Below are 23,809 nucleotides of genomic sequence, written 5' to 3'. Positions count from 1 at the left end.
GCACAGTATCTGTGCTGGAGTTCCTCAGGCTCAGTCCCTCATGGTTTCCCTTGGGTAGAGGAGAAAATTCCCCAACCCCTTGCACTTCTCGGGTGAGGCGATGCCCCACCGTGCTTCAGCTCACTCCCCGTGGGCTGCACCCACTGTCCAACCAGTCCCAGTGAGATGAACTGGGTACCTCAGTTGGAAATGCAGAAGTCACATGCTTTCTGTGTGAATCTCGCTACGAGCTGCAGACTGGAGCTGTTCCTATTCAGCCATCTTGCCAGCAATCCCCTGCAACTCTTAATTTCTGGCTACAGGATCAGTAATGTCAAGGGTGTAAGTGACTGGCCCAATGTCATATGGCTCGTTTGTTACAGAATCGGGATGCAAAAACTGAGCTTGAAAAATCAACCAACCAGTACAACCACAACAGCAGGGCAGGGCCACCCAGCCTCTGTGTTTCACTCTGCATGGCTGGCCCACCAAGTTCCCTTGGCCTTATGGCTTCTCATTTAAACTGCAGAGAAGCTATGGTTAAGTCAAAGGCTCAAGTAGGTTAGAGTGAATTACTGAATCAGAGGAGTCCTATTTACACAAAGGAGGGAAGGAGTATCATAAAGAGGAAGAAAAGTAAAAGGAGGCATAAATGAAGAAAATGAAAGAGGAATCCGCTAAGAATAGACAAAGTGAGCGTCAAAATGACTCCACCCCAGGAAGGAGAGGGGGAGGGACCCATGGAGCAGGAGGGAAAAGGATTCCTCCCCCTCAGTAATCTTAATTATAACAGTATAGGACAGGTATGAATAGTGTTGTTTTATATATGAGAAAACTGAAGCTCAGAAAAGCTGTATCACTTACTCAAGGAAATACAGTTGGTAAGAGTCTCCTAATTCTGTAAATTTTTTCTTTTCATAGGTCTCTTTCTTCCCTTGTTTCCATCATTATTTCCCTCTGGCCTCCTTTTATGTGTACAAAGTGAAGTACGGAGGTTTTTACCTTTTTTCTGAAATAGTTATCAAATATCCCATGATGGAGTGAGTACGTGGTTACCATGACAACACAGCCCTCACTGAGGACTAGCCTCCCTGCTTTGCCTCCGGAATCATGTTTCACGGAACAGGTTCCTCTCCGTGCAACTTCTAGCAGCTGTAATTCTACATTTTGTTTGGGTGATTATTTGCTGAATGTCTGTCCTCCACTAGACTATGTAAGTTTCACAATGGCAGAGACCAGCCTACTTTGCCAAGTGTGCCCCCAGCGTTTTGCACAGTGCTTAGCACCAGGATCTATGTGTTATTTGCTAAGCAAATGTTCTGTGGTTCCTCTCCGCTCTCTTCTGAAAGTTACATGGACAGTAACCTTTAGCTCACAATTATGTTAATAAATACTGTGTAACGAGTCGGGCCGGTATTTACAGATAGTATACACGTGAATGAACACACACACACTCACGACTGCACAACAGCCCGGGGCAGGTGCACTCAAGAGGAAACGCGCACAGTCGGAGCCAGCCTGACCAACGCTGTTAAACACCGCTGCGCTGGGCTCCGCGGGCCTCTGCCGCGTGGGAGGGCACCCAGGCTGACGCGCTGCGGGAGTCTGGGGCCCACTGGGACTTGCCTGCCGGGCCGGGTGGCGGCGGCGTGGGCGGTGAGCTGCGCGGTGATTGGCCCGCGCCTGCCGGGGCGGGGCGGGGCTGGCAGCGGGAGGCAGGCGCCTGAGCCAAGGGGGGCGTGCGCGGCGGCGGCTGCCGTAGTTTCAGTATAAACAAGGAACCCGACTGGTTAGACAGATTTTGTTTTTCTTCTTCCCGCGCGCTTTAGCTCCCTGTCCTTTGGTCGCATTTGTGGGCGCGCGGCACGCAGCCGGGAGGCCGAGGACTCGGAGTTCACCTGCAGGTAGGTTGTTCCCTGGCTGGGTTGTTCTCCCGGCTGGGGGACCACAGCCCGGAGCGGGAACTCCGGACCCTACTGCGCGCTGCGCTCTCCCTGGAGATCCCTGGGCCGCGCGGGGAGCGAGCGGGGCTCAGAGACTTCACCGGCTGCCGGGTGCGCTCCGAGGCGGCGGGAGATCCCGAGGCGAGTGAGCGCGAACGCGGGCGCCAAGAGCCGAGTTACAGCCCGGGACCGGGGGAGGGCCCCTGCCCGGCCGCTGCGGGTACCTGGGACTGCCGCGGCCCCAACAGGTGCGAGGCCGAGCCGCTGGGACCCGGGCAGGGCCAGGCTTGGGTTGGGTTGGGTTGTGCCTTCCCTCTTTCTCCCTGATCCTGCAGCCAGGCCTTCTGTCTCGAGATAGGTGGTTTTTGAGGATTTGTCTTGAGTTGTAATCGCGTCCATCATTTTTTTCATCCCTTCTTTCCTTCGTGTGCATACCTAGGTTGATTCTTCCACTTCTTGACCAGTTTTGTGTGCGTGTGTGTGTAGGGGGAGCTGTTTATTTTTGTTGTCAGTGCCATGTAATCTAAAGTCTGACTCGTAGGAAGGGACAAGGGAACAGAAGTCACATACTCGCCACCGACAAGGTGATGTGCTGTCATCCTTCGGTGTTCACCTGGCAAACTTGGGAGACACTGAGTCGCCTTGCTTTTGCCAGAGCTCAGTTGAGTCGCCTCGGGTCACCTGCCTGGGGAATCTCAGATGAGCTAGAGGTATCTAGGAGCCTCGCGGGCAGTCAGCTTAAGGGAGGTTCTTTCTAAGGGAGCTGTGAAAACAACTTAAGTGCTGCACCAGGGAAAAGGGCGAGACGGGGGCTGGGGTGCGCGCGCCTTTGTGTGTGTGTATGGACGTACCATTTCAATACTGCTTGCTGTCTTGCCCCAACCAAATCGGCGCAGTTCAGGCAAAAGCAACGTAGCTTAATCCTCTGACACTGCCGAGGGTGGCACAAGTGTGGCAGATAACACAAGGAGATTGTCTAGACGGCGATTTTCTCTTCGGAATGTAGATGTGTCCATCCTCCCTGATGAATTCGGTGGATATGGTGTATATAGATGAATATGCACACAAATTTGTGTATGTGTTTGGGCCGAACGCGTCTCCAAGGAGTCCTTCGTCAGCACCATGTGACGACGGTCAGGAACTGCTGGTGTGTGTAGATCTATATTTAGCTCAGATGGTCTAATGGCCGAAGGGAGGGTCTCTGAACTGGGTGCATAAAGGGGAAGAGTCTAGGGATCAGGGTGGTGCACTCTTGAATGATGTCTGGCACAGTCACACTCAGATGGGGTGAATAATTGCCCTTTCCTCGTGAAAACAGTAGCTAGAGCTTGGCATGTGATGGCTATGCCTTAATTTAAAACATAGTTGGACCATGGCGATAAGCCTCTGCTAAGAAACAAGGAGGTTTACAGTTAAGCAGCGTATATACCTGGTTGGCCGTTTGGGTGAAAATAACTGGTCCCATGAGATTTAGAACAAATATAGAGTTGCTTTCTTTAATAAAAAGAAATAAAAATTATTTGCTGTTGAGGTTTTCATAACAGAAAAAAAGAAGGCAGCTTGTTAAACCCTATCATTAAAGGTAATTTTATTTTTTTAAGTGAGGGGCAGTGGTGGAGCTAGAGAGGAGGACCTTAGGGCACTTTTGACAGATATCAGGGTTTACAAACAGCGTTATATTATGCCTCTCAAGCAGATTTTCTGGTGAAGATGAGATCAGCCACTGATTAACAAGTTTCTTGTTGGCATTCTTCCACTGCATGTCGGGTCAATCCTTTGTTTTCTTGGAGGTGGGCAACATTTCTAACTACTAAGCATATTGGCCTTGTACTTTCCAGTTGTCTAACGAAGTGTTACATTCTTAGAATTTATTTCTCCTATGGTGCATTTTCAGTCTTGCTTCATTTTATGTGCTCCACTGGATATTTTATCTGATACTAACACATCTAATACCTGGGAATCATACTGTCTTTTGGAGAAGAGAATCACCAGAAAGCATTCCCATGTATTGTCTCCCGCTAACCCCCTACAGCTTAGCATCTAATAGATTATTTATATGTGTGTGTGTGTGTGTGTATATATACACATATATGTACATATATACATATGTATTTATATGTATAACTAAATCAAAGTATTATAATAACACATAGTTCTTATATAACATTTTATTCTTAGAACCTAAAATTAACTACTAGTTAATAGAGTACAATAGACTATATAAAAACAATTCAATACACCTTTCTAAGGAAAAAGACATGGTAAGAAAATTGAAGGGGAGGAGCTGGGATCCCTAGTATGACTCAGGAGTGTTGGGATCAGCTTTGTCAATATCCGCAGAGTACCTGGAAGAATTGGACTTGGGAGGAACATTGGGATAGCCCCAGGAGAGCACCTCCTTGGAAAGGAGATGGGTGAATGGAATGTCTTTTTCTTTGCTTGGGAGAAGAATCTAGAATCCTTGAAGCAGGGATTGGGAAACTTGATTCTGATGCCACACATAATAAATGAAAAAGCTGTGAAAACATTTTGTGACTTCTTAAAGAGGCCAATTGCACTGTTAAAAATGCTGTTTAAGATTTATGGGATTTTTATTAGTAGTAGTTGAATTCAGGTATTGCCAGCCCACCCCCCTCACTTTTTCAGACCTATAGTTGTCCTTTTTGATTCTCCAGTTAAAACTACAAAAAAGATCCATGCAACCTTTGCTTATCCTAAAGTGACAGATGTTATAGCCTAGTGCTGTGGCATATTTCTGCCTTGGAAATAAGGAGACTTGGGTTCTGGTTGATCTGGAGCCCTAATCAGTGATTTATTTTTTCTCTATGCCTGCAGTGTCTATAAAACGACTGTGGGGAGTTGAACAGAATGATTTATGAGTTTCTTTAGGTCTGTCATAACTGCTTTATTTTGTTGTACTATCGCTTCATGCATTTACACCCTGTCTTAGAGGTGGACTAATGAAGGGACAAGTGATTTGCAGTTAGGTGTTCACCTACTTTCTGGGTACATGGAAATGAAGAGAGGAGAGTGAAATTTCTTTTTTATTTATGAATTCATGTAGAAATTTAATATTAAACTGCTTTTTGCTTTGTTTTTCTTTAGGTATGAATATTAAAAATGATTATCAAAAAGATTGGTGTCAGATTATTTTTTGGCCTATTAAATCAATATTACTATCCACTAAATTTTTAAATTTGTCTTCAACAATCATTTTTTCTTAGGTTTATATTTATTATTTCATTTCAGGATATGCCTATGTCTGGAAATCATTCAGTTGATTCAAACTTTATTAGGAAACCCTGCTTAGAAAATTAGTTTAACCCAGAGAAAGTACAAATTAGCCTGGACTACCAATATCTTTCTATTGATCTAAAAGAGAAAAATGGGAAGGGATGAATATAGTTTTTCAAAAACTCACAGCTGGAAAATTATCCCAGTAACCATGTTATATACTAAAATATAAATAGAAAACTCTACTTTTTAATAAACATCCTCATTAGGTATCAGATCATTTTCCTGAGATGAATTAGGTGTAGAAAAATAAAACCTTTCATTAAAGAATGTTCTCCACATGCTATTATCTAATTTGGGTTGAGATCTACCTTGTATAAATGATGATTCAGCTACTCATATCTGTGCTGTTCAGTATGGTAGCCACTAGTCATATGGGAATATTTAAACTTAAGTTTATTTAAATTAAACAAAATTTAAAATTTAGTTTTTCAGTTGCAATAAGCCACATTTTAAGTGCTAAGTAAGTCACTTGTGGCTAGTGGCTGCTGTATTGGATTGTGCAAAAGAAAAACATTTTCAGTATCCCAGAAAGTTCTTTTTGACAGCACTCAATTAGGTAATGATGATTTTGATTATCCAGAAGATCATTTTTATTCTTCCAGGAAAATGAAATATTTAATTCTCATTATAGATGAGCACCTACAATGTAAGGCATTATGACCAAATGGCATTATTAGCCAGTACGTCTTCACCTGTACAGTATGAGCTGTATAGTTCAATAATATGCCAAGATCACAAATACCAGTTTCTCAATATATTTTCCCCATAACTCTAGTTATCCTTTTGCTTTTCTAAACCAGCACTGTTACTGCTACAAAGTGCCAACTCTTTGAAAGACAAGGAACGAGGAGCCATCTACTGTCCGGTTTAGGAACTGCATGGAAGATGTAGCTAAAAAGTTAATGCATAAAGAATGTATGCATTACATTCTTTACATTCAATATGTCCTGGGTTCAGTTCCCACACAGTAAAGATTTATTTCATAGAAGAGTTTTAATTGACTCTCCAGGTTATGTGCCGAAATGTCATTTGTGGTTTAATAAACTGCTAACAACACATCCCCAAGACAAAAGATGACAAATCTTAGCTTTGTTTTTCTTCCAAGGAAACCAAAGATAGTAAACTATTTGAGTCAGAATCCCCTTCCTCCAACAATTAGGAATTAGTATGAAATATTTAAGCAGCATCTAAGACAAATCAAGCAGAATGGAAATTAACTTTTTGTATGGATGCTGATAAATCAGGAAATAATATCACTGTTTCATTGCGAGAGAAATAGGATCTTCCTTCCTCAAAAATACTGATTTTTTTTTCCTCCCTTAACTGTGAAATCTACTAAGCATGTGGGACTCACTTTCAAAGAAGGTACTTATCTTGGAGTCTTGGAGTTTCTGTCTGTTCACATACCAAAGAAGTGAGTTGACTCTGAGTTGTCTTCTCTGTGTTGTTTGCCCTCTCAATACAATACCTTTTTTTTCTTTTTTTTTTTTTTTTTTAAGGAGGTAAGCAGAGGTGTAGCATTTCTGCAGTTTCCAGAGATGCTGTTAGAAATCTCTGATTTAGGACGTCTTCTGACTGAGGACAGAAATGGGAAGATAATCTGGAAATTTTCTTTCTTTCTTTCTTTCTTTCTTTCTTTCTTTCTTTCTTTCTTTCTTTCTTTTTTTTTTTTTTTGACATGGAGGCTTGCTCTGTCGCCCAGGCTGGAGTGCAGTGGCGCGTTCTCAGCTCACTGCAACCTCTGTCTTCCAGGTTCAAACAATTCTCCTGCCTCAGCCTCCCCAGTAGCTGGGACTACAGGCACCCGCCACCACGCCCAGCTAATTTTTTGTGTTTTTAGTAGAGACAGGGTTTTACCGTGTTAGCCAGGATGGTCTCGATCTGCTGACTTTGTGATCTGCCCACCTCAGCCTCCCAAAGAGCTGGGATTACAGGCGTGAGCCACCGCGCCTGGCAATCTTGACGTTTTCAAATTTAAAATAAGTCATGTTTTAAATAGTGTCAGAAACTTGACTTTTGCCTTTCACCCTGGCTCAAATCCATAGTTAGATACACCCTATGAAGGTGCAGTCAATCTTTGTATTCTAGCAGGGCGAAAGGAGACAGGCTGCAAGTACTTGAGATAACAGCTGGAGTAAAGCTGAAATACGTGAACTCTTAATTCAGATCTATGCAGCTTCAAGGGAGAAAAGGAAGAAACAAGTTGTTGAAGATGAATCTCACCAAAGGGCAAAGTTTCTCTGGCATCTAGATGGGAATTCGGGAACCAGTAATTCCGGGATATTAAATTAAACCTCTCCCCACTAAACAAATATGCTTTCAAAGTTCAGCTGTGATACGGAGGCCTTCATCTACTTAAGTGTTTTTCTTTTCTTTAATTGGGACACATGCCCAACATTTGAACAGAAGCTAAAATATTATGGTCAACATCAAGGCATTGGATTTATTAAATATTTCACCAAAGCACTGTATGTATGATGAAATAGGGATTGAAAAAAATAAACCTTTTTTTTCTCTGACTCTTACATTTTCTGTCTCTTTCCAAGTGTAGAGGAAATGCTGACTTGACATTCTAGTAGAGATTTACAAAGCACCTATTGCAGACATTGAGGGATAGCTTTTGATTCAGTTCCCATACCCATCTTTTCCTCAACCTCTTTTCCAATTTGAATTGTCACCTGAAACCACCTTATCCTGGTGCACCTGCTTCATCATAAATAACATTGTGCAAAAGCAGTCGCTAATTCAAACACAGTCTGCTGTTTAGAAAAAGGCAGCTTTTCATCTGGCACTTTAGTGGATTTGAAACCATTAGGCATGCCTTTCAAATCCATTCATATCGTAAATCACCCAGAGCTTGCTTCCTTGCTGCTGGATCAATGTCAGGCTGAACTTTTTCAGGGTCCTTGGAAGAACGTGATCTATCTTTGTGACCAAATTAGCTGCCTCTGTAAGATGTCTTGTCTGTCAACTAACTTTTCAACTTCCCAAATTAATTTTAAGAAAGAACATTCATCTTGTGTACCTGGGTTGGGTATATCTTAACTTCCTGTTGGAAGATTTTCCAGCATAACCTGTAATCTATATGCTAATTATGGTGGCTCTACACTTTCTTTTCGCCTGTTTCATTGTTTTAAAACCAGAGTCTGTTTTCCATTATCTCCCTGCATCTTCTAATATCCTAAAGTGCTGCCTCAATTTTTGCAGAAAAGAAAAGAGAAAGCCCATTTCAATAGCTGTACCCAAACCAAAATAATTATGATTATTTTATTCTCTTAACTCAGTTTGATAGGTACTACCTGAAAATACAAGAATTCCTTGATTTCTTTCTTTCTTTTTTTTTTTTTTTGAGATGGAGTTTTGCCTTTTTTGCCCAGGCTGGAATGCAATGGCACGATCTTAGCTCACAACAACCTCCGCTTCCCAGGGTCAAGCGATTCTCCCGCCTCAGCCTCCCAAGTAGCTGGGATTACAGCCATGTGCCACCATGCCCGGCTAATTTTGTATTTTTAGTAGAGACAGGGTTTCTTCATGTTGGTCAGGCTGGTCTCAAACTCCTGACCTCAAGTAATCCGCCCGCCTCAGCCTCCCGAAGTGCTGGGATTACAGGTGTGAGCCACCGCTCCTGGCCTAAGAGTTTCTTGATGTCTAAGGAGCCAGTCTTGAAAGTGTTAGACCAAGGTTACTGTCAGAGCCACCATGTTCTTCTTCCTTGGCGTAGAGAAATAATATCTAGGTTCTGTGCAGGTCAGCACATGGACTTCTTAATCTGGGGTCTGTAAACTCCCTGAAAGTATATGAAAACTGGTGTGTAAATTTCTCTGGGGGTGGTGATGGGGAGAGGTTTGTGATCTCCCTAAAGAGTTAAGAGCCACTGACTGAATTGAATATACTCTGAGTTGTAAAGAACTGGCTTACAAATGCAACTTCGTAAGGTGAGAATAGCTTTTGAGATTAACCTGCTCTCTGCTTTATGTATTATTGGTAGGATTTGAATAAAGTCAGCAGCTTTTTCTTGTGTCTCATACAAATCTCTTTTTTTCTGAAGGAATTAGCTACTTTGAAGTTGGACTTTATGGTAAATTAATGCCAGTATTTAACTTGCTGTTCCATCCATATATTCTAATTTTGGAGAAGAGTCAGTTTTTCCTAAACAAAATTTTTTGTTAGCTGGTCCCCATTGATAGGTATATTGAGTTAGGCAAAATTTTTACTAACGACAGATGGCAGGCAGTGGAGAGGCTGGTTCTGAGGCTGTGTTGCAAAGTGTAAAGAGGAGTAAGTTGAGAGTTTATAGGATCTCAGAGACAGAAAATATTAGTTGTGGAAGATGAAAGGAGAAGATTTGCTGCCAATAAGGAAGGCATGAGAACTGCCTGACTGAATGAAATAAATGGAAGTTATGGGTTACGAGCAACCTTACCCTGAGCCTTTCTTCCCCTGGAGAAATTGTTAGGAAGTGATTCCTGGAGTTAATAGTGCCCAGGGATAAATACTTGCCTGGATTCTCATGCCCAGCACTTTGAATATTGGATTTATTTTCTTAACAAGAACTAAACCAATATTTAATCTTTTGGGCCTCACTTTTCAATTCCAGAACTGAAGCAGTTAGAATAAAAGACCCAGACATCAAGTCTGAGTAATACCGAACAAACAGTAGCTCTTGGTGTGGTTAACAAGAGGGAAGATACTTTAGAGAAAACAGACTACTATGTTTGTCTTCTTAGGTATTACAATTCTGTTCCATAAACTGTACTTTCTGTACCATTCTGCTGATTTTTCCTTGTGATTATAAAACGCTTCTATTACACAGGCAGTTGATCCTTCCGAAAACAGCTAGACTGGCCACTGGTTAGACATTGTCCAGCAATGAGTGATGAATACTGTGAGCCATGATTTTTCTCTTGGTCATTTCTTTCATTAAATTTTTTTTGCCGGAAATCTATAAAGTACACACAAGCAAATATTACTATATTTCATTGAGTCTAAGAGGCTATCCCTCGTTAGATGCTCTGTCATTGCATATATCACTTTAAAAGACTGTTAAGTAAACATGTTTTCTTACCATTCAACTGTTTACATGCATCCCAGTTTTGAGGATATTATAATTTTTTTTAAAGTCCATATTGGAATCTCTGGAATCTCTATGTCTTGATGAGACCATGCTTTGATGGCAAAGGTCAGTAGCTTAAATACTGCTGTTGACAGTTGAACTTTTTAATAAGAGTAATTAATGGTACTAATACTTCTTTGGAGCAAGGATTTATGTAGAACATGTAAAATGTATGAATTATTCTAATAGCCTACAATTTGAGACAGACTGACAGGATTTTTGTTTAATGCTTAAACTTTAGAAGTTCAAAGAAGACCATTTGCAGCATATCATAATGTAGTGTAATAAATTTTGAACCTGGAGTCTGAAGACCTAACTCTGAAACCCTACCCCACCTGTCCCTTACTCCATGTCTAACCCCAAGCGAGTTATTACAGTTTTTCTGAACCTCAGCTTCTTATATAGTCAAAAAAAAGATGGGGATGCCTGCCAGATGAGGTGGTTGTAGAATCCAGGAAGGCATTTGTAGTCAGTAAACAATTACACAAATGGAGCCAATGAAATTCTCAGAGCCCTCTGCATCACGGATGTCATAAGAGAGACCTGGAATGGGGATTCAGAGAGGTAAAGGTCTGTGAAATGTGAAGACATTTTCCAGCACACAATATCCCATAGTGAGAAGAATTATGACTAATGAAGGGAGAAGGGATTAAGGAATTGAAAAGATTCTGTCTGGAGTATATGGGGAGGTAGAAAAATAAGACTATTGTGCATAATAAATAATGGGCTGAAGTGACTTGAATCTCAGTAGTTGGTTATTGCTATGTGCAAGTTCAACAATCAAGGTGGTTTCATGGGAAAATGAAATCAGCTAATTAGCAGCATAACTTTGGGCTTGTTAGAAGGCAGAAAATAGCCTGTGACATAACTCTGTTCTTACAGTTGATTTTTAAGTACAATAAGCCATAAACCTTATTCATTTACCTCAATTTGGTTTCTGTCACTATTTGCATTATATTCTTTTAGTGCCTTGTTGGAGGGAGTTTTCTAAGTATTGATATTTTGCACCTCTTCAGAGAAATACTGCAAGTGGTATAGTTCCAAAAAACAATACACAAGCCTTTTGCCATTGCTCTAATCATAATGCTCTAAGAAGAACCTTGCACTAAAGAAGATAAGTAGTTTTGTTACTATTTTGGAAGGGATAAGCAAAATTGGAAATAACAGATGGAAAACATATCTGGTGGTGCTGAGGGTTTGAAGATTTCACAGCCATTAAGTGCCAGAATTAGGACTTCATTAAATCTGAATCTTTGTCCAGATCTGAGCTCTTGTCTACTCTGCAGGAATAAATAATTAAGAAGTGCAAATACTTGGTAGCTTTTGGTGCTGATTCCTTGAAAACAAAATCTGAGTGACCCATGACCGTTTTGTGGGTTGGTGCTTACTGCTAATTAGCCTCTGGCCGGAGAGTACTTGGTGCAGGGGAGTTCCATCCAGCAAGAGTGCAGCGATGTGCCTCATTGCTGGGTCATCTTAGCCTGGTCACCTTACCCCCTTGGGTCTCAGAAGAGGAGATTGGACTAGATTGTGATGGCACATGGGCTGTGGCTCCTTCCATGACTGTCTGACAGTCATTGCTAATCACTTACAACCTACATTCTCCCACTGAGCTACAGCTTCCATATTTTCCTTGCTCATCCTCAGGCCTTTAGACCACCACTTTAATTGATTGCAGTTGGAAAGTGAAAGGAAAGTGAAATGAAATGTTTTCCAGATACTGGGCCAGGTGATTTCTGTGGTTCCTTTGAATATTTATCATTTTCTGATTTTTTGGAATTCCCAAATCCTGGCCAACCATCTCCCAAAAGCACTTTGTTAGAATGGTTGCGCTAGCAATGAGTAAGTGCTCCAATGAAGGAAAATGTGTGGTTCCTGAAAGAAAAAAATCCCAATTCCAAGGGCATGACACTCCTCATGCTGCATGTGAAGGACACTGTGGTTATAAACATCTAAAACTTTTTAAAGCCAGAGGCAACCAAATCCAGACAAAGGGTTCTCTCTCAGTTATCTGAAGGAACTTTTAGGTGCCTCTCATCTCACGTCCCTGCCTCCTCGTTTGAGGGCACTATGAGTTTCTCAGGGCAAGGACAGACTGGCTCTTATTCTTGCCGCCAAGGATGGCCAGTTTGCAACGATTATATTGCACAGGAGTAGTACTCATAGAAACCTGGCAATTTGAGGAGGAAAGAAACATACCTTGTCTATTGCCTTATAAAATGTTAACATTGAATAATTTATTTATTTAACTGCAGTTCCTACATGTGAGGTCTTGCCAACTAAGGGTGTGTGCAGACCATCTGTGTTAATGTTATATCCCATAGTGCCTGACCCTTTGGCTGCTATGACTATGTGCTACCTAAAGGAGAGACATGGGGCCAGTGACCCTAGTAGTGACAAATCTCTGTGAATAGAGTGGTTCTCAGTCATCACCTTCTTCCCATTTGTGGCTTTTTCATGGATCCCGTTAAATTGTCCCTCAACACTGGTTTGTGGAGGGGACAAAGTACTCAGAAATGAAGTTGGTTTTTATCTCCCATTTATTTTTCTTGATGCTTCTTTTATCTAATTCTGTTTTCACCTGCCAGGTTGGCTTTTATGATGGATGTTTTCTCTTAATGCCCCACCCCTGGCCGCCCCCTGCTGAGGCACATGCACAGGATGTGATGCTCTGTGTACCCATCAGCTGTAGCTGGAACAGATGCTCAAGGAGTGATGGATGTGACTTAGACAGGGCTCCACACCCCTCCCACATTGAGATGCAAATATCTTTTGGCATCTTAAAAAGAAAGATTAGTCCAGGTTATGTCCTTCTGCTGCCTCCACACACCCTGTCCCTGTCAGTCCGTAGCTTGGAGTATGGCTCCCCTTCATTGTTTGCCTTCTGAAGCCCCCAGTCTCTGCAGCTCTTCAATGCCTCCATTGTGCAGACGTGGTGCCAGAGACTGGGAGTCTGTTCTCAGGGCCGGGTGCCGTCCCTAGGAATTCAAGTAATAACTTAATAGCCTCTGGCCTCTGCAGAGCACCCTCTGACAAGGCCTTTGTGAACTGCAAAGTACACAGATGGAGAGGAGCAACTTATCTCAGGACTGTCACAGTGCTCCTTGCTCCCAAATCAGGTGTCTTCTCAGCCTGCATGTTTATTGAGAACTGAGGCTTTACAGATACCACCCCACAGCCCCAGGAGAATTTAACACAAAGGGGAGAAAATCAACAGCATCTGATCTTTCAGTGAAAACTGAAGAGTCTACATGAAATCTTGTGTGTACACATATACATATATAAACATGCACAGAGTATACTTCAACTCTAGGCCTACTTTGCAATTTAGTGTTTTCAGCTTCAATTTTGGTTGTCTTCCAGTACTTCAGATAGCTCTTCAGTGTTAGGTAACTTTTCCCAACCAAATTTTAAGGTGTACACATTTCCACCTTAGGAAAATTGTTGACTCCATGCGATAAAGCAATAGAAGTTCAGTTCCCTTGCCCCTTTCACAATCTGATGTGAAGGAGTGACATCTAAATATGACAGCCAGAGACTTGAGTTTAAGTCCAGGTTGGGCCCCTCAGTCTAAGCATTGTATGATATTTGATTGAATGAGAGTGGTACTCAAAAGCATGCATACGTGTCGTACTCAGAGAGCAATTTGGTTCCTGATGGGCTCTGATTCTGTGTCAGAACCTGAACTACTATTTTAATTGCCTATTCTCTCGTTACTATTAAATCTTAGTGCCTATTAAAGCTTACCTTTATTTTCATACTGCATATTGCTGACATTATTTTTTCTTCTTTTTTATTCCTTTTAGGAAAGTATGCCTCAGACTCCTCCCTTTTCAGCAATGTTTGACAGCAGTGGTTACAATCGAAACCTCTATCAGTCTGCAGAGGACAGCTGTGGAGGGTTGTATTACCATGACAACAACCTCCTCTCTGGATCCCTGGAAGCACTCATCCAGCACTTAGTACCTAATGTGGATTACTATCCAGATGTAGGTATTCATGTTTCTCTGAAACACATCCTTGGCAATGAGTAGAAATTGCAGTACAGTAGGCAGGGACCATAGATAATACAGAATTATATCTAGGTTGCTAAGAATTTTTCTAACAAGAAATTGCATATTGATTATCAAGTGCATTGAAATCAAATCGAGCCTGGATAAGGATCAGATTTTGGTATACTATGTGTATCAATTTCTTTTCAGGTTAGTTACAACATTGTAGATGGTCTGATACCATCTAAATGAAGTATCTGTAGAGTTGATTCATGCATATAGCTTAGTCCTTAAATAGAAATGTCAGAGAACATTGGATGCTCCCAGAATATGTAATGCCTTTTTTGTTTCCAAGACCATCACTATGCTAAGAAAAGTGAATGTAACCAAGGAAAGTATATGGAAGAGAAAACAAGATTTATGCTCAAGATGTAATTCTTTATAGATTTGACATCAGATGACATGGTTGCTTTGTTTTACCTTGGTAACCTACATTTATATAGCTAGCACTTTCTAATCTAGGGAATTTGTTGTATATTTTCTCAGTCTTTACAGTAATTCCAAGAGGGAAGAGAGGAGAAAACGATTCAGAGTGTTGAGTATTTGCTGATGGTCCCACTCCCAGCATCAGCAGTCAAACACAGGTTTTCTTTCTGGGACAAGTGACTTTTTCCCCCTTCCCTGTGCTGCAGCTACCTCTATGGAATTGAGCTTAGTAGTAGGAGATTTGCCGAGCAGCTGGTTATTGATAAAGATCTCATGAAAATATCTAGAGACTACATTCATTTGTCTTTATAAATTTAATGATAACCTTGGTGTGCAAAGGATAGTTGGTGCTTGCCGCAGTAATTCACCATAGTGTTTCTTACTGAGTTATCTCTCTGTGTATTGTTACATGGCATTTTCAGATATGTTGCCACACAGGGAAAACTTGTAGTCAAAAGTAAAAGGAATCCCTTGTTCAGCCCTGTGTTTATGAGCTAGTAAAGGCGCCTAAGGAAAAAAGAAAAATCCCATGGAATTTCTCTTTTCATTGGGAGTCTGAAATTATTATAACAAATAAGCACTACTTCATTATTGGCTTCTTAGGAGACAATGTGGTTAAAGAAAAGTATATAGTGTTATATTGTGCTTTATTAAATTGCTTTGCCTTTAAACAAATAAATAGGTTACTTGAAAGCCTGCCTTTGAATGTTCTGACACAAACACTTTACTGTGATGTGCTAGACACAGTGGAGAATTGTTGAGTGTTATGTGCATTGGGTAGGTAGGTTTTTTTGTTGTTATTTTTTATTTGGTTTCCACTGAGTTACAAAATATTTGGACACACAACCATGTTTTGTATGGGTAGTATATTCAAGTAAGATTTATCTCTCTGGGCTGAATTTCATTCTTCTTTACTAAAGTGAGTTATGTGTCTTGGTATCCTGGCTCCCTGAGGAAGGATGTGAAAATGTGCTCTGAATAATTCCAGGAGCCAAACTTATCCTGTACTTCTGTTATTTTTAGTATGGTTTCAGGGAAAACATACATCAGAAGGTAAAGGAGAAATTAACCTTACACTGTTTTACTACTAGTAGGCATTACTTTTGAAACTGCAGCATATGAACTTGATCAGGAGAACTTAATGAAATAAGACATAGTATAAAGGCAAGATATTAATTTCAGAGAGAATGTAACGATGATGACTTTTTTCTGTTGCTGCAGAGAACATACATATTTACCTTCCTACTCAGTTCTCGGTTATTTATGCATCCGTATGAGCTAATGGCCAAAGTTTGCCACTTATGTGTTGAGCACCAGAGACTAAGTGATCCTGATAGTGATAAGGTAATGGTACATTACAATTTGTTTTATTAGGAATGCTTACTTTATGGCTTAGATTTTGTGAAGTTGGTTCCTTAAGTAACCCTGGCTTATCCCCAGGCTGAAGTGCATAAATGGCATCATGGCTATACAAGGGGAATTGTGAATGGTATAAAGAATAAAGAACACAGGATAAATCAAATGCAGTTCGGGTGCACTGGCTCACGCCTGTAATCCCAGCACTTTGGGAGGCCAGGGTGGGTGGATCACCTGAGGTCAGGAGTTTTGAGACCAGCCTGGCCAACGTGTGAAACCCCACCTCTACTGAAAATACAAAAATTAGCTGGCCCTGGTGGCGCATGCCTGTAATCCCAGCTACCCAGGAGGCTGAGGCAGGAGAATCGCTTGAACCTGGGAGGCAGGTTGCAGTGAGCTGAGATTGCACCACTGCACTCCAGCCTGGGAGACAGAGTGAGACTCTGTCTCAAAAATAAAAGACATTAAAAATTTAAAAATTTTAAAAAATAAATTAATTAAATGCAATGGAGAATCCCTAGGTCCTGCCTTAAGTTGGTGGCACTTGGCATTGACATGGAGGGAGGGGGGCTGGAGCTTCTTCTTCATCCCTAAAGACTTTGCACTAGAAGTTTCTCAGTGACGCTCTTTGTAACTATTGATTTGATGTAGTCCATAGTGATAAATATCACTGAATTAGATTTGCTATTTCTCCCTAGAACCAGATGAGAAAAATTGCACCCAAAATCCTTCAACTCCTCACGGAATGGACGGAAACATTTCCCTATGATTTTCGGGATGAAAGAATGATGAGAAACTTAAAAGATCTGGCTCACCGAATAGCCAGTGGCGAAGAGGTTGGTAACCTGAATTTAGCGCGGCTGCTGGAATTCCCAGGCAGAGCCTGGGTGGGAAATGGTGCCGAATTATGCATCCTAATCTCCACTGCTTCCTCTCTGTTTTGCCTTTGGGCAAGCCCTCCACATCACATATTGGTCTATTTAGTATGTCAAGTGAGAATGATTATACCATCCCACTTCAAAGGGATATGATCTAGAGTTTTATGTGATTAATTTGGGGCTATGTTCATGTCAACTCATGCACAGGATTTATGTTGCAAGTATGTTTTAATTTTACTTTACTTTTACCTTTTTTCCTCCCAAAAAGGTTTGACACAGCTAGTTAGATGATAAATGGCATGTTAGTAGACATAAACACTAGTGGATACAAAGTAAATAACATTATTCTATTAACCGAGGATAAATAGTAGATTAATAAATCATAAATAGAAATAGACATTCTGGGCCATGGCAGAAAGAAAATAAATACGCTCCTGTTGAGAATGAGTAGAGGAGGACAGGACTGCTGTGGTATGAGTTTAAGTTCCAGGTAAAAGGGAAATACAGCTGGTCATGTAATATTCACTGTCAGAAAAGGGGAAGTATAGTAATTATTGAGGGACTTAAATGAAAAATTTAGAAACTTTCTTCTGAAGAACTTTGTATAGGGTCATAGAATGAGATCCTACAAACTGCTCTTTATGGTGTTTACAACATACCTTCCTGGATAGAAGCTGAGTTCATAGATTCATGTGTAAATTAGCAAAGATAATTCTTGGGGGAGGAGAAGACTGAGAAAATGAGGCAAGTCTTCCAGTGCTCAGAAGTTGATTTAAGGATAGACTCTAGTATAGGTAGAGATTAAAAGTAAGTCTCTTAGATAGGCTTTCATAAATATCACTTCCCTCAGTTGAGCCTTTGATAAGCACTAACTACTAGCTGTGACAAATTCAAGGTTATCCTTTTTGAAGCAGGACCAGAGGGCTGGTATTCTGTGTTGAGACTTGCTGGGCAAGGATGCCCTTGTAGTTTCCATGTTGCAGGTCAACTTCTGGGAACAAGTCATTCAGGCACAGATACACTTTCACCTGGAAAAAGTAGATGAAGCATTTGGCAATGATGTTGCATTTTATTCGTCTTAAAATGCATTTTCCATTATGAATAACCTTCCTTGAGAACTCTTTCAGTGGTGTGCTGCAACGTATAACTTGATACCCTATCCTTTTTTTCTGAGACAGAGCCTTGCTCTGTTCCTCAGGCTAGAGTGTAGAGTTGCGATCATGGCTCACTGCATCCTTGACTTCTCTGGCTTAATCAATCCTCCCACCTCAGCTTCCCTAGTAGCTGGGACTACAGGTGCATGCAACTGTGCCTGGCTCGTTTTTTCTATTTTTTGTAGAGACAAAGCCTCACTATGTTGCCCAGGCTGGTCTCCAACTTTTGGGCTCAAGCAATCCACTGGCCTTGGCCTCCCAAAGTGCTGGAATTACAGGTGTGAGTCACTGCACCCAGCCGCAATTTTTTGTGAGAAAAGGGGAAGTATATTAATTGTTGAGGGAATTAAGTGAAAAATTTAAAAACCTTCATCTGAAGAACTTTGGGGCTATGTTCATGTCAGCTCATGCACAGGATTTATGTTGCAAGTGTGTTTTAATTTTACTTTACTTATACCTTTTTACTTCCAAAAAGGTTTGACACAGCTAGTTAGATGATAATAAGTGGCATCTTAATAGATATAAACATTTTAATGCCATTTATCCCAATTTTACAAAATCAGACTAAAATTATGTAAGGCTAGCTTTTGAAAAATTTGTATGGGCTTTCCTGTATTATGTTCTCATGAAAATGGGATTAACCATTTTACTGTTACTTTTTGACATTATATTATGATGAACCCAAGTGCTCGAGACAGCCATTATTTCTGCCGGGCCGAATGAGTCATTTCCTGAGTCACTGTGCAAGTTATGACGGTTATAATCATTTTGCCAGTTTGCCTCTTACAGGTTCTAGCCAGGTATGAATTGATAGGTCCCTTGCTTACAAAGGCAAAAGTTAAGCATCATGGTGCAGTTTTGTAGTAAATCTTATGTTAGAGGGGTTAGCCGTGGAGTTCCTTGGCAGGGTCAGTGCTGGCTCAGTGACCTTGGTTTATGTATCTGAAGCTGCTCAAAAGATCAGTGACATCATAAGGGCTTTTTCTTGTATGAAGGCTGAGACCTAAGTCAAACAGTTTTCATTTCAGTTTGGTTGTCTTTAGCTACTTAACATTATATGTCAGTCATCTTATCTTCCCTCTATTGCCTTTATAACTTAGTTCTTTCCAAAAGAAACACCTTAAAAATCTTTTTCTTTTAAGATAAAATGTTGGCATTTTGAAAATACCAAATGGATGGTCCTTGTTGTTGCGGCAGTCAAAGGGGAGATCATTTTTATTTGTGTTTACCTGATGAGAATTGGTCTTTTTGTTTAACAGAATCAAGCCATTCGAGAGCTGGGTAGAACAGAGAGAAGGGCCAAACAGCCTTGTGACCCTGGCTTCTTTTCAACACTCCTGGGTTAATAACATATTCTTGATAGAAACCTTGCGAAGTTCAGATGGTTTTGAGCATGAAAAGAGGAGATAAGAAGACAAGCCAGTTCTAACTGAGGAATTGATTAAACTAAGGGTTGAGTGGAGAGATGTCACCTGCCTTGATCGGGTTGGGTTTCACAGGGAGATGTTGTTTCTTTAGCTGCTTCTATTCAGTATTCAGAATTCAAATCCACACTTGCCAGCTGGTTTATCTGAGTGTGTTTTGGCTAGTCCTCTAAATCCTTGCTCCTTTCTCATCTCTATAAATCACAGAAGTAACTGCCTTGTGTTAATGCCCTTTCAGCTCTGAAACTGTGTGATCGATGTCCTTCCTCCAGTTCTTTGGCTTCAGGCTCCTTATCAGTCACGTGCTTAGGTGGCTCTCCTCAGAGAGACCTTCCCTTGGCACCCAACTATGATCATACCCCCTCCCATTATGGGCTTTCACTGCTCTTCCCTTCATAGTCATTCTTAGCACTCTGTGATGAGTAATGATAGCTGGCCCTCTCTCTGTATTTGTGGGATCTGCATCCATGGGTTCAACCAACCTCAGATTGAAAATATTCAAAAAATATTAAGTCTGTACTGAACACATATAGACTTTTTTTCCTTGTCATTATTCCCTAAACAATACAGTATCACAGTGATTTACATAGCATTTACGTTGCGTTAGCTATTATAAGTAATGTAGAGATGATTTAAAGTATACAGGAGGATGTGCGGATGTTGTATGAAAATACTGTACCATCTTAGAGCGGAGACTTGACCATCTGCAGATTTTAGAATCCCAGGGAAGTCCTGGAACCAATCTCCCGAGGATACTGAGGGATGACTGTACTTGCATTTTTATTGCTTGTTTTCCCCTCTAGACCCCATGCTGTGCCCTCTTTGTTCACCACGGCATCCTTAACTCCTAGCTCAGTACCTGGCACCTAGTATTCTCTCAGTAGTGTTTGAATGAATGAGTCAATCAATGAATGAATGAACAAATGAATTACTGGAATAGGGAAAAATTATTTCCCTCTATTGGAAGGAATATGGGTCTGGGTTGGGATTTGTTGCTTCTTGCCTGGGACTTTTTTTTTTTTTTTTCTCCTTTTGGCAGTCAGTGAATCCAGGTGTGCCGTATATATAATTTAGTCAGGTTCTTCTGAATCTACCAGGACAGTTCTACATAATTTGGCATAATATGTTTCTCCCCTGGGGATTTGCCCAAAATGAAGTGGTTTATTAGGACTTGCCTGCAAGAAACATGAAATGAAACTAATGATTGAATTACATGACAAATGACTGTAGTGAGTAGAATGCAATTTTCTCTTCCTTAAGGGGCTGGTCTTTATAATAAGAGCTTCTATCTTTATTTGCCAGGTAATTACTGTCACTGGCATTTGAAGTTATAAAAAAGAATAAGTACATATTTAGTAATTCATGACTCAGTGAGGAACCATGCTTAACAACACAAAGCTTGATTTCTCAAATGGAATCAACTGGCAGCAGGAAACTTTTAAAAGAGGTCATATACATACACTCTCTCACATGCTCACACACTAGTTGTTGTTGAATAGCTTTCCCCCATACTCTATTGCATACATTTTTCCCTTATATTTTGATGCAGTTTTTTGCTAACAACCTGATTATACATTCCTCTGCCTCTTCCCCCAGTAAATTTTTCTAAAATTGCGGAATAGGCTGGGTGCGGTGGCTCATGCCTGTAATCCCAGCACTTTGGGAGGCTGAAGCAGGCAGATCACCTGAAGTCGGGAGTTCAAGACCAGCCTGACCACCATGGAGAAACCCCATTTCTACCAAAGATACACAATTAGCCAGGTGTGGTGGTGCATGCCTATAATCCCAGCTACTTGGGAGGCTGAGGCAGGAGAATTGCTTGAACCCGGGAGGCAGAAATTGTGGTGAGCCAAGATCGTGCCATTGCACTCCAGCCTGGGCAACAAGAGTGAAACTCCGCCTCAAGAAAAAAGAATTGCAAAATAAAAATCTTTCAGCAGATATGCTGGTAAAGCATTGCTTCTCACACTTGGCTTATACAAGGATCAGCTGAGGAGCATCCAGAGCATGTGACACAAGTGCACTGCAGACCAAGTCGATCAGAATCTCTGGGGTGGAACCCAGGCTGCCCCCATTCAGCGGTTCTGCTCATTGCTTCCCAGCAGGTACCCTTGTGTGGTACCCTGAATAGAAGTGGTAATTTCTTACTAAAGTATTTTCTGCAGGGATCCCGGGAAGGGGTGAGGAGAAGGTGCATGATGTAGGAATGATAACATGCATGGAATAGCAGCTGAGGCATAGAATAATAAATATTTTTAAATGAGTTGTTGGCTTTTTTAAGTGAAAAGAACTTTCTTGTGCATGTCTCATGCCTGTGTTATCCAAAAAATCCCATTCTGTGGGAAAATTTTAAAACATTTTATTTTTAATATATCAAGTAATATAGGAATATATTCACTTAGATTTTGTTTAAAAAGAATTCATACAAAGCAAAAGAGGCCAAAAAACTCCATTCAATCCAGCTTCTCTCTTAAAGGTAACAAGTGTTGTCAATTTTGTGTGTATCCTTCCGGCGCTGCTCCTATGTATACAGGTGTTCACAGAAAGTAGTGTGTATGGCTTTTGTTTCCATGTATGTTTACCTAGTATTCATCACCCTGCTTGTTTTCTCTGTGTTATGTCTTGGAAACCCTTCCATGTCAATGTAGGTAGCTGTATCTTCTTTCAGCTGCTATACAGTAGTCCAGTATGTGATTGGGCCATGTTTCTTTTTCTTTTTAAAAACTATTCTATTGGACACAAACAAGTTAAATTTGTTTATACTGAAAACTCAGGCGTTTTCTGAGAAAGACTTAGCAAAGAAGATTAAGTCCCTTCTTCATATCAAACTCTGTTTAGTAAAGTAGTAACATATAGTTGTGGGTTGCTCTTGTAAACAGGCTTTACTGACTGTGAAACTTCAACTTTGTAACATGTATTTTCTACTCTGCACTTGATCTTAGCCAAAAGGGTGAGAAGCGATTCTACCCTGGATAGTATATGCTGTAATTAAGTATCTCCAAGAAGGTGTTTATTAGCCATTCTGAGTAATACACTGGGAAATATTTGCATAATTATTAGAAGTAGTATCTAACTCTCATGTAGTCATTTGTTATGACATTTTGGACAAAGGACTGAATAAAACATTTTAAGTTGGTAGATTTTGTTTGTTTGTTTGCTTTGTTTTTTGAGACAGATTCTCACTTTGTTACCCAGGCTGGAGTGCTGTGGCATGATCAGGGCTTACCATAGCGTCAACCTCCCTGGCTCAAGCAATCCTCCCACCTCTGTTCCCCCCAACTAACTGGGACTGCAGGTGTCCGGCTAATTTTTAAATTTTTGTAGAGGCTGGGTACGGTGGCTCATACTTAATAATCCCAGCATCTTGGGAGGCTGAGGTGGGCAGATCACTTGAGGTCAGGAGTTCGAGACCATCCTTGCTAACATGGCAAAACCCCATCTCTACTAAAACAAAAACAAAAACAAACAAAAGGCATCAACAACAACAACAACAACAAATTAGCTGGGTATGGTGGCACACACTTGTAATCCCAGCTATTCAGGAGGCTGAGGCACGAGAATCGCTTGAACCTGGGAGGTGGAGGTGGCAGTGAGCTGAGATCACACCACTACACTCCAGCCTGGGCAACAGAGTGAGACTCTGTCTCAGTCAGTCAATCAGTCAATCAATATATAAATAAGTTTTTGTAGAGACAGGGTCTCACTATGTTGTCTCGATCTCCTGGGCTCAAGGGATCCTCTTGCCTCAGCCTCCCAAAGTGCTGGGATTACAGATGTGAGCCACTATGCCTGGCCATAGATTTTTACTGTAACTCAAGTTTATAAAATTAAAAGAGGAGGGGGAAATAGGAATGAGAGATTTAAAATAACCCTCAACTCATCCTTGAACAGCTTTGAATTCCAAAAAAAAGACATTTCCCTTGAGTGACAAACATATTACCAAATAGCATTTTCTAAACTGATAACCTTAGTGCTGTATGGAAGGTGGGATTTTTGTCTGTTCAATTTTTAAATACATAGATGTTTCATTAGTGATTTTAGGGTGATCCATGACTATAGAGAAAAATAGGGGTCATCTAATGGACCAGTTTAAAGAACTCAGCAGAATATACACTAACAAATAGAGAAGAAAAGGAAAAGAAGGCTGTGTATGCTTTTTACACCTTGACTATGCAAGAGTTAACCAT

General features: G+C 40.9%; 1 protein-coding gene across 3 annotated transcripts in view, besides 1 other annotated feature; it reads left to right on the top strand.

The window, feature by feature from the left end:
- Positions 1,405-1,814: a silencer, noted in NCBI's record as "silent region_15524". NCBI's record gives its function as "represses an Ori minimal core promoter by ATAC-STARR-seq in GM12878 lymphoblastoid cells {active_cell/tissue: GM12878}" and the evidence as "EXISTENCE:reporter gene assay evidence [ECO:0000049][PMID:35858748]".
- RASGEF1B (RasGEF domain family member 1B) overlaps positions 1,746-23,809 on the top strand; it is a 45,515-nt gene continuing 23,451 nt past the window's right edge. For 2 of the 3 annotated variants that reach the window (NM_001300735.2, NM_152545.3), the window contains exons 1-4: positions 1,746-1,883; positions 14,139-14,321; positions 16,032-16,154; positions 16,865-17,002. In NM_001300735.2, coding sequence (NP_001287664.1) covers positions 14,145-14,321; positions 16,032-16,154; positions 16,865-17,002 — 438 coding nt within the window. In that variant the 5' untranslated portion in view covers positions 1,746-1,883; positions 14,139-14,144. The remainder of the gene's footprint in view (positions 1,884-14,138; positions 14,322-16,031; positions 16,155-16,864; positions 17,003-23,809) is intronic. The other variant, NM_001300736.2, reaches the window with a different exon arrangement.

The sequence above is a fragment of the Homo sapiens genome, chromosome 4, assembly GCF_000001405.40.
Source record: "Homo sapiens chromosome 4, GRCh38.p14 Primary Assembly".
Taxonomy (NCBI): Eukaryota; Metazoa; Chordata; class Mammalia; order Primates; family Hominidae; genus Homo; species Homo sapiens.
The sequence above is the reverse complement of the archived record's forward strand: the minus strand, read 5'-3'. Positions and strand labels throughout refer to the sequence as shown.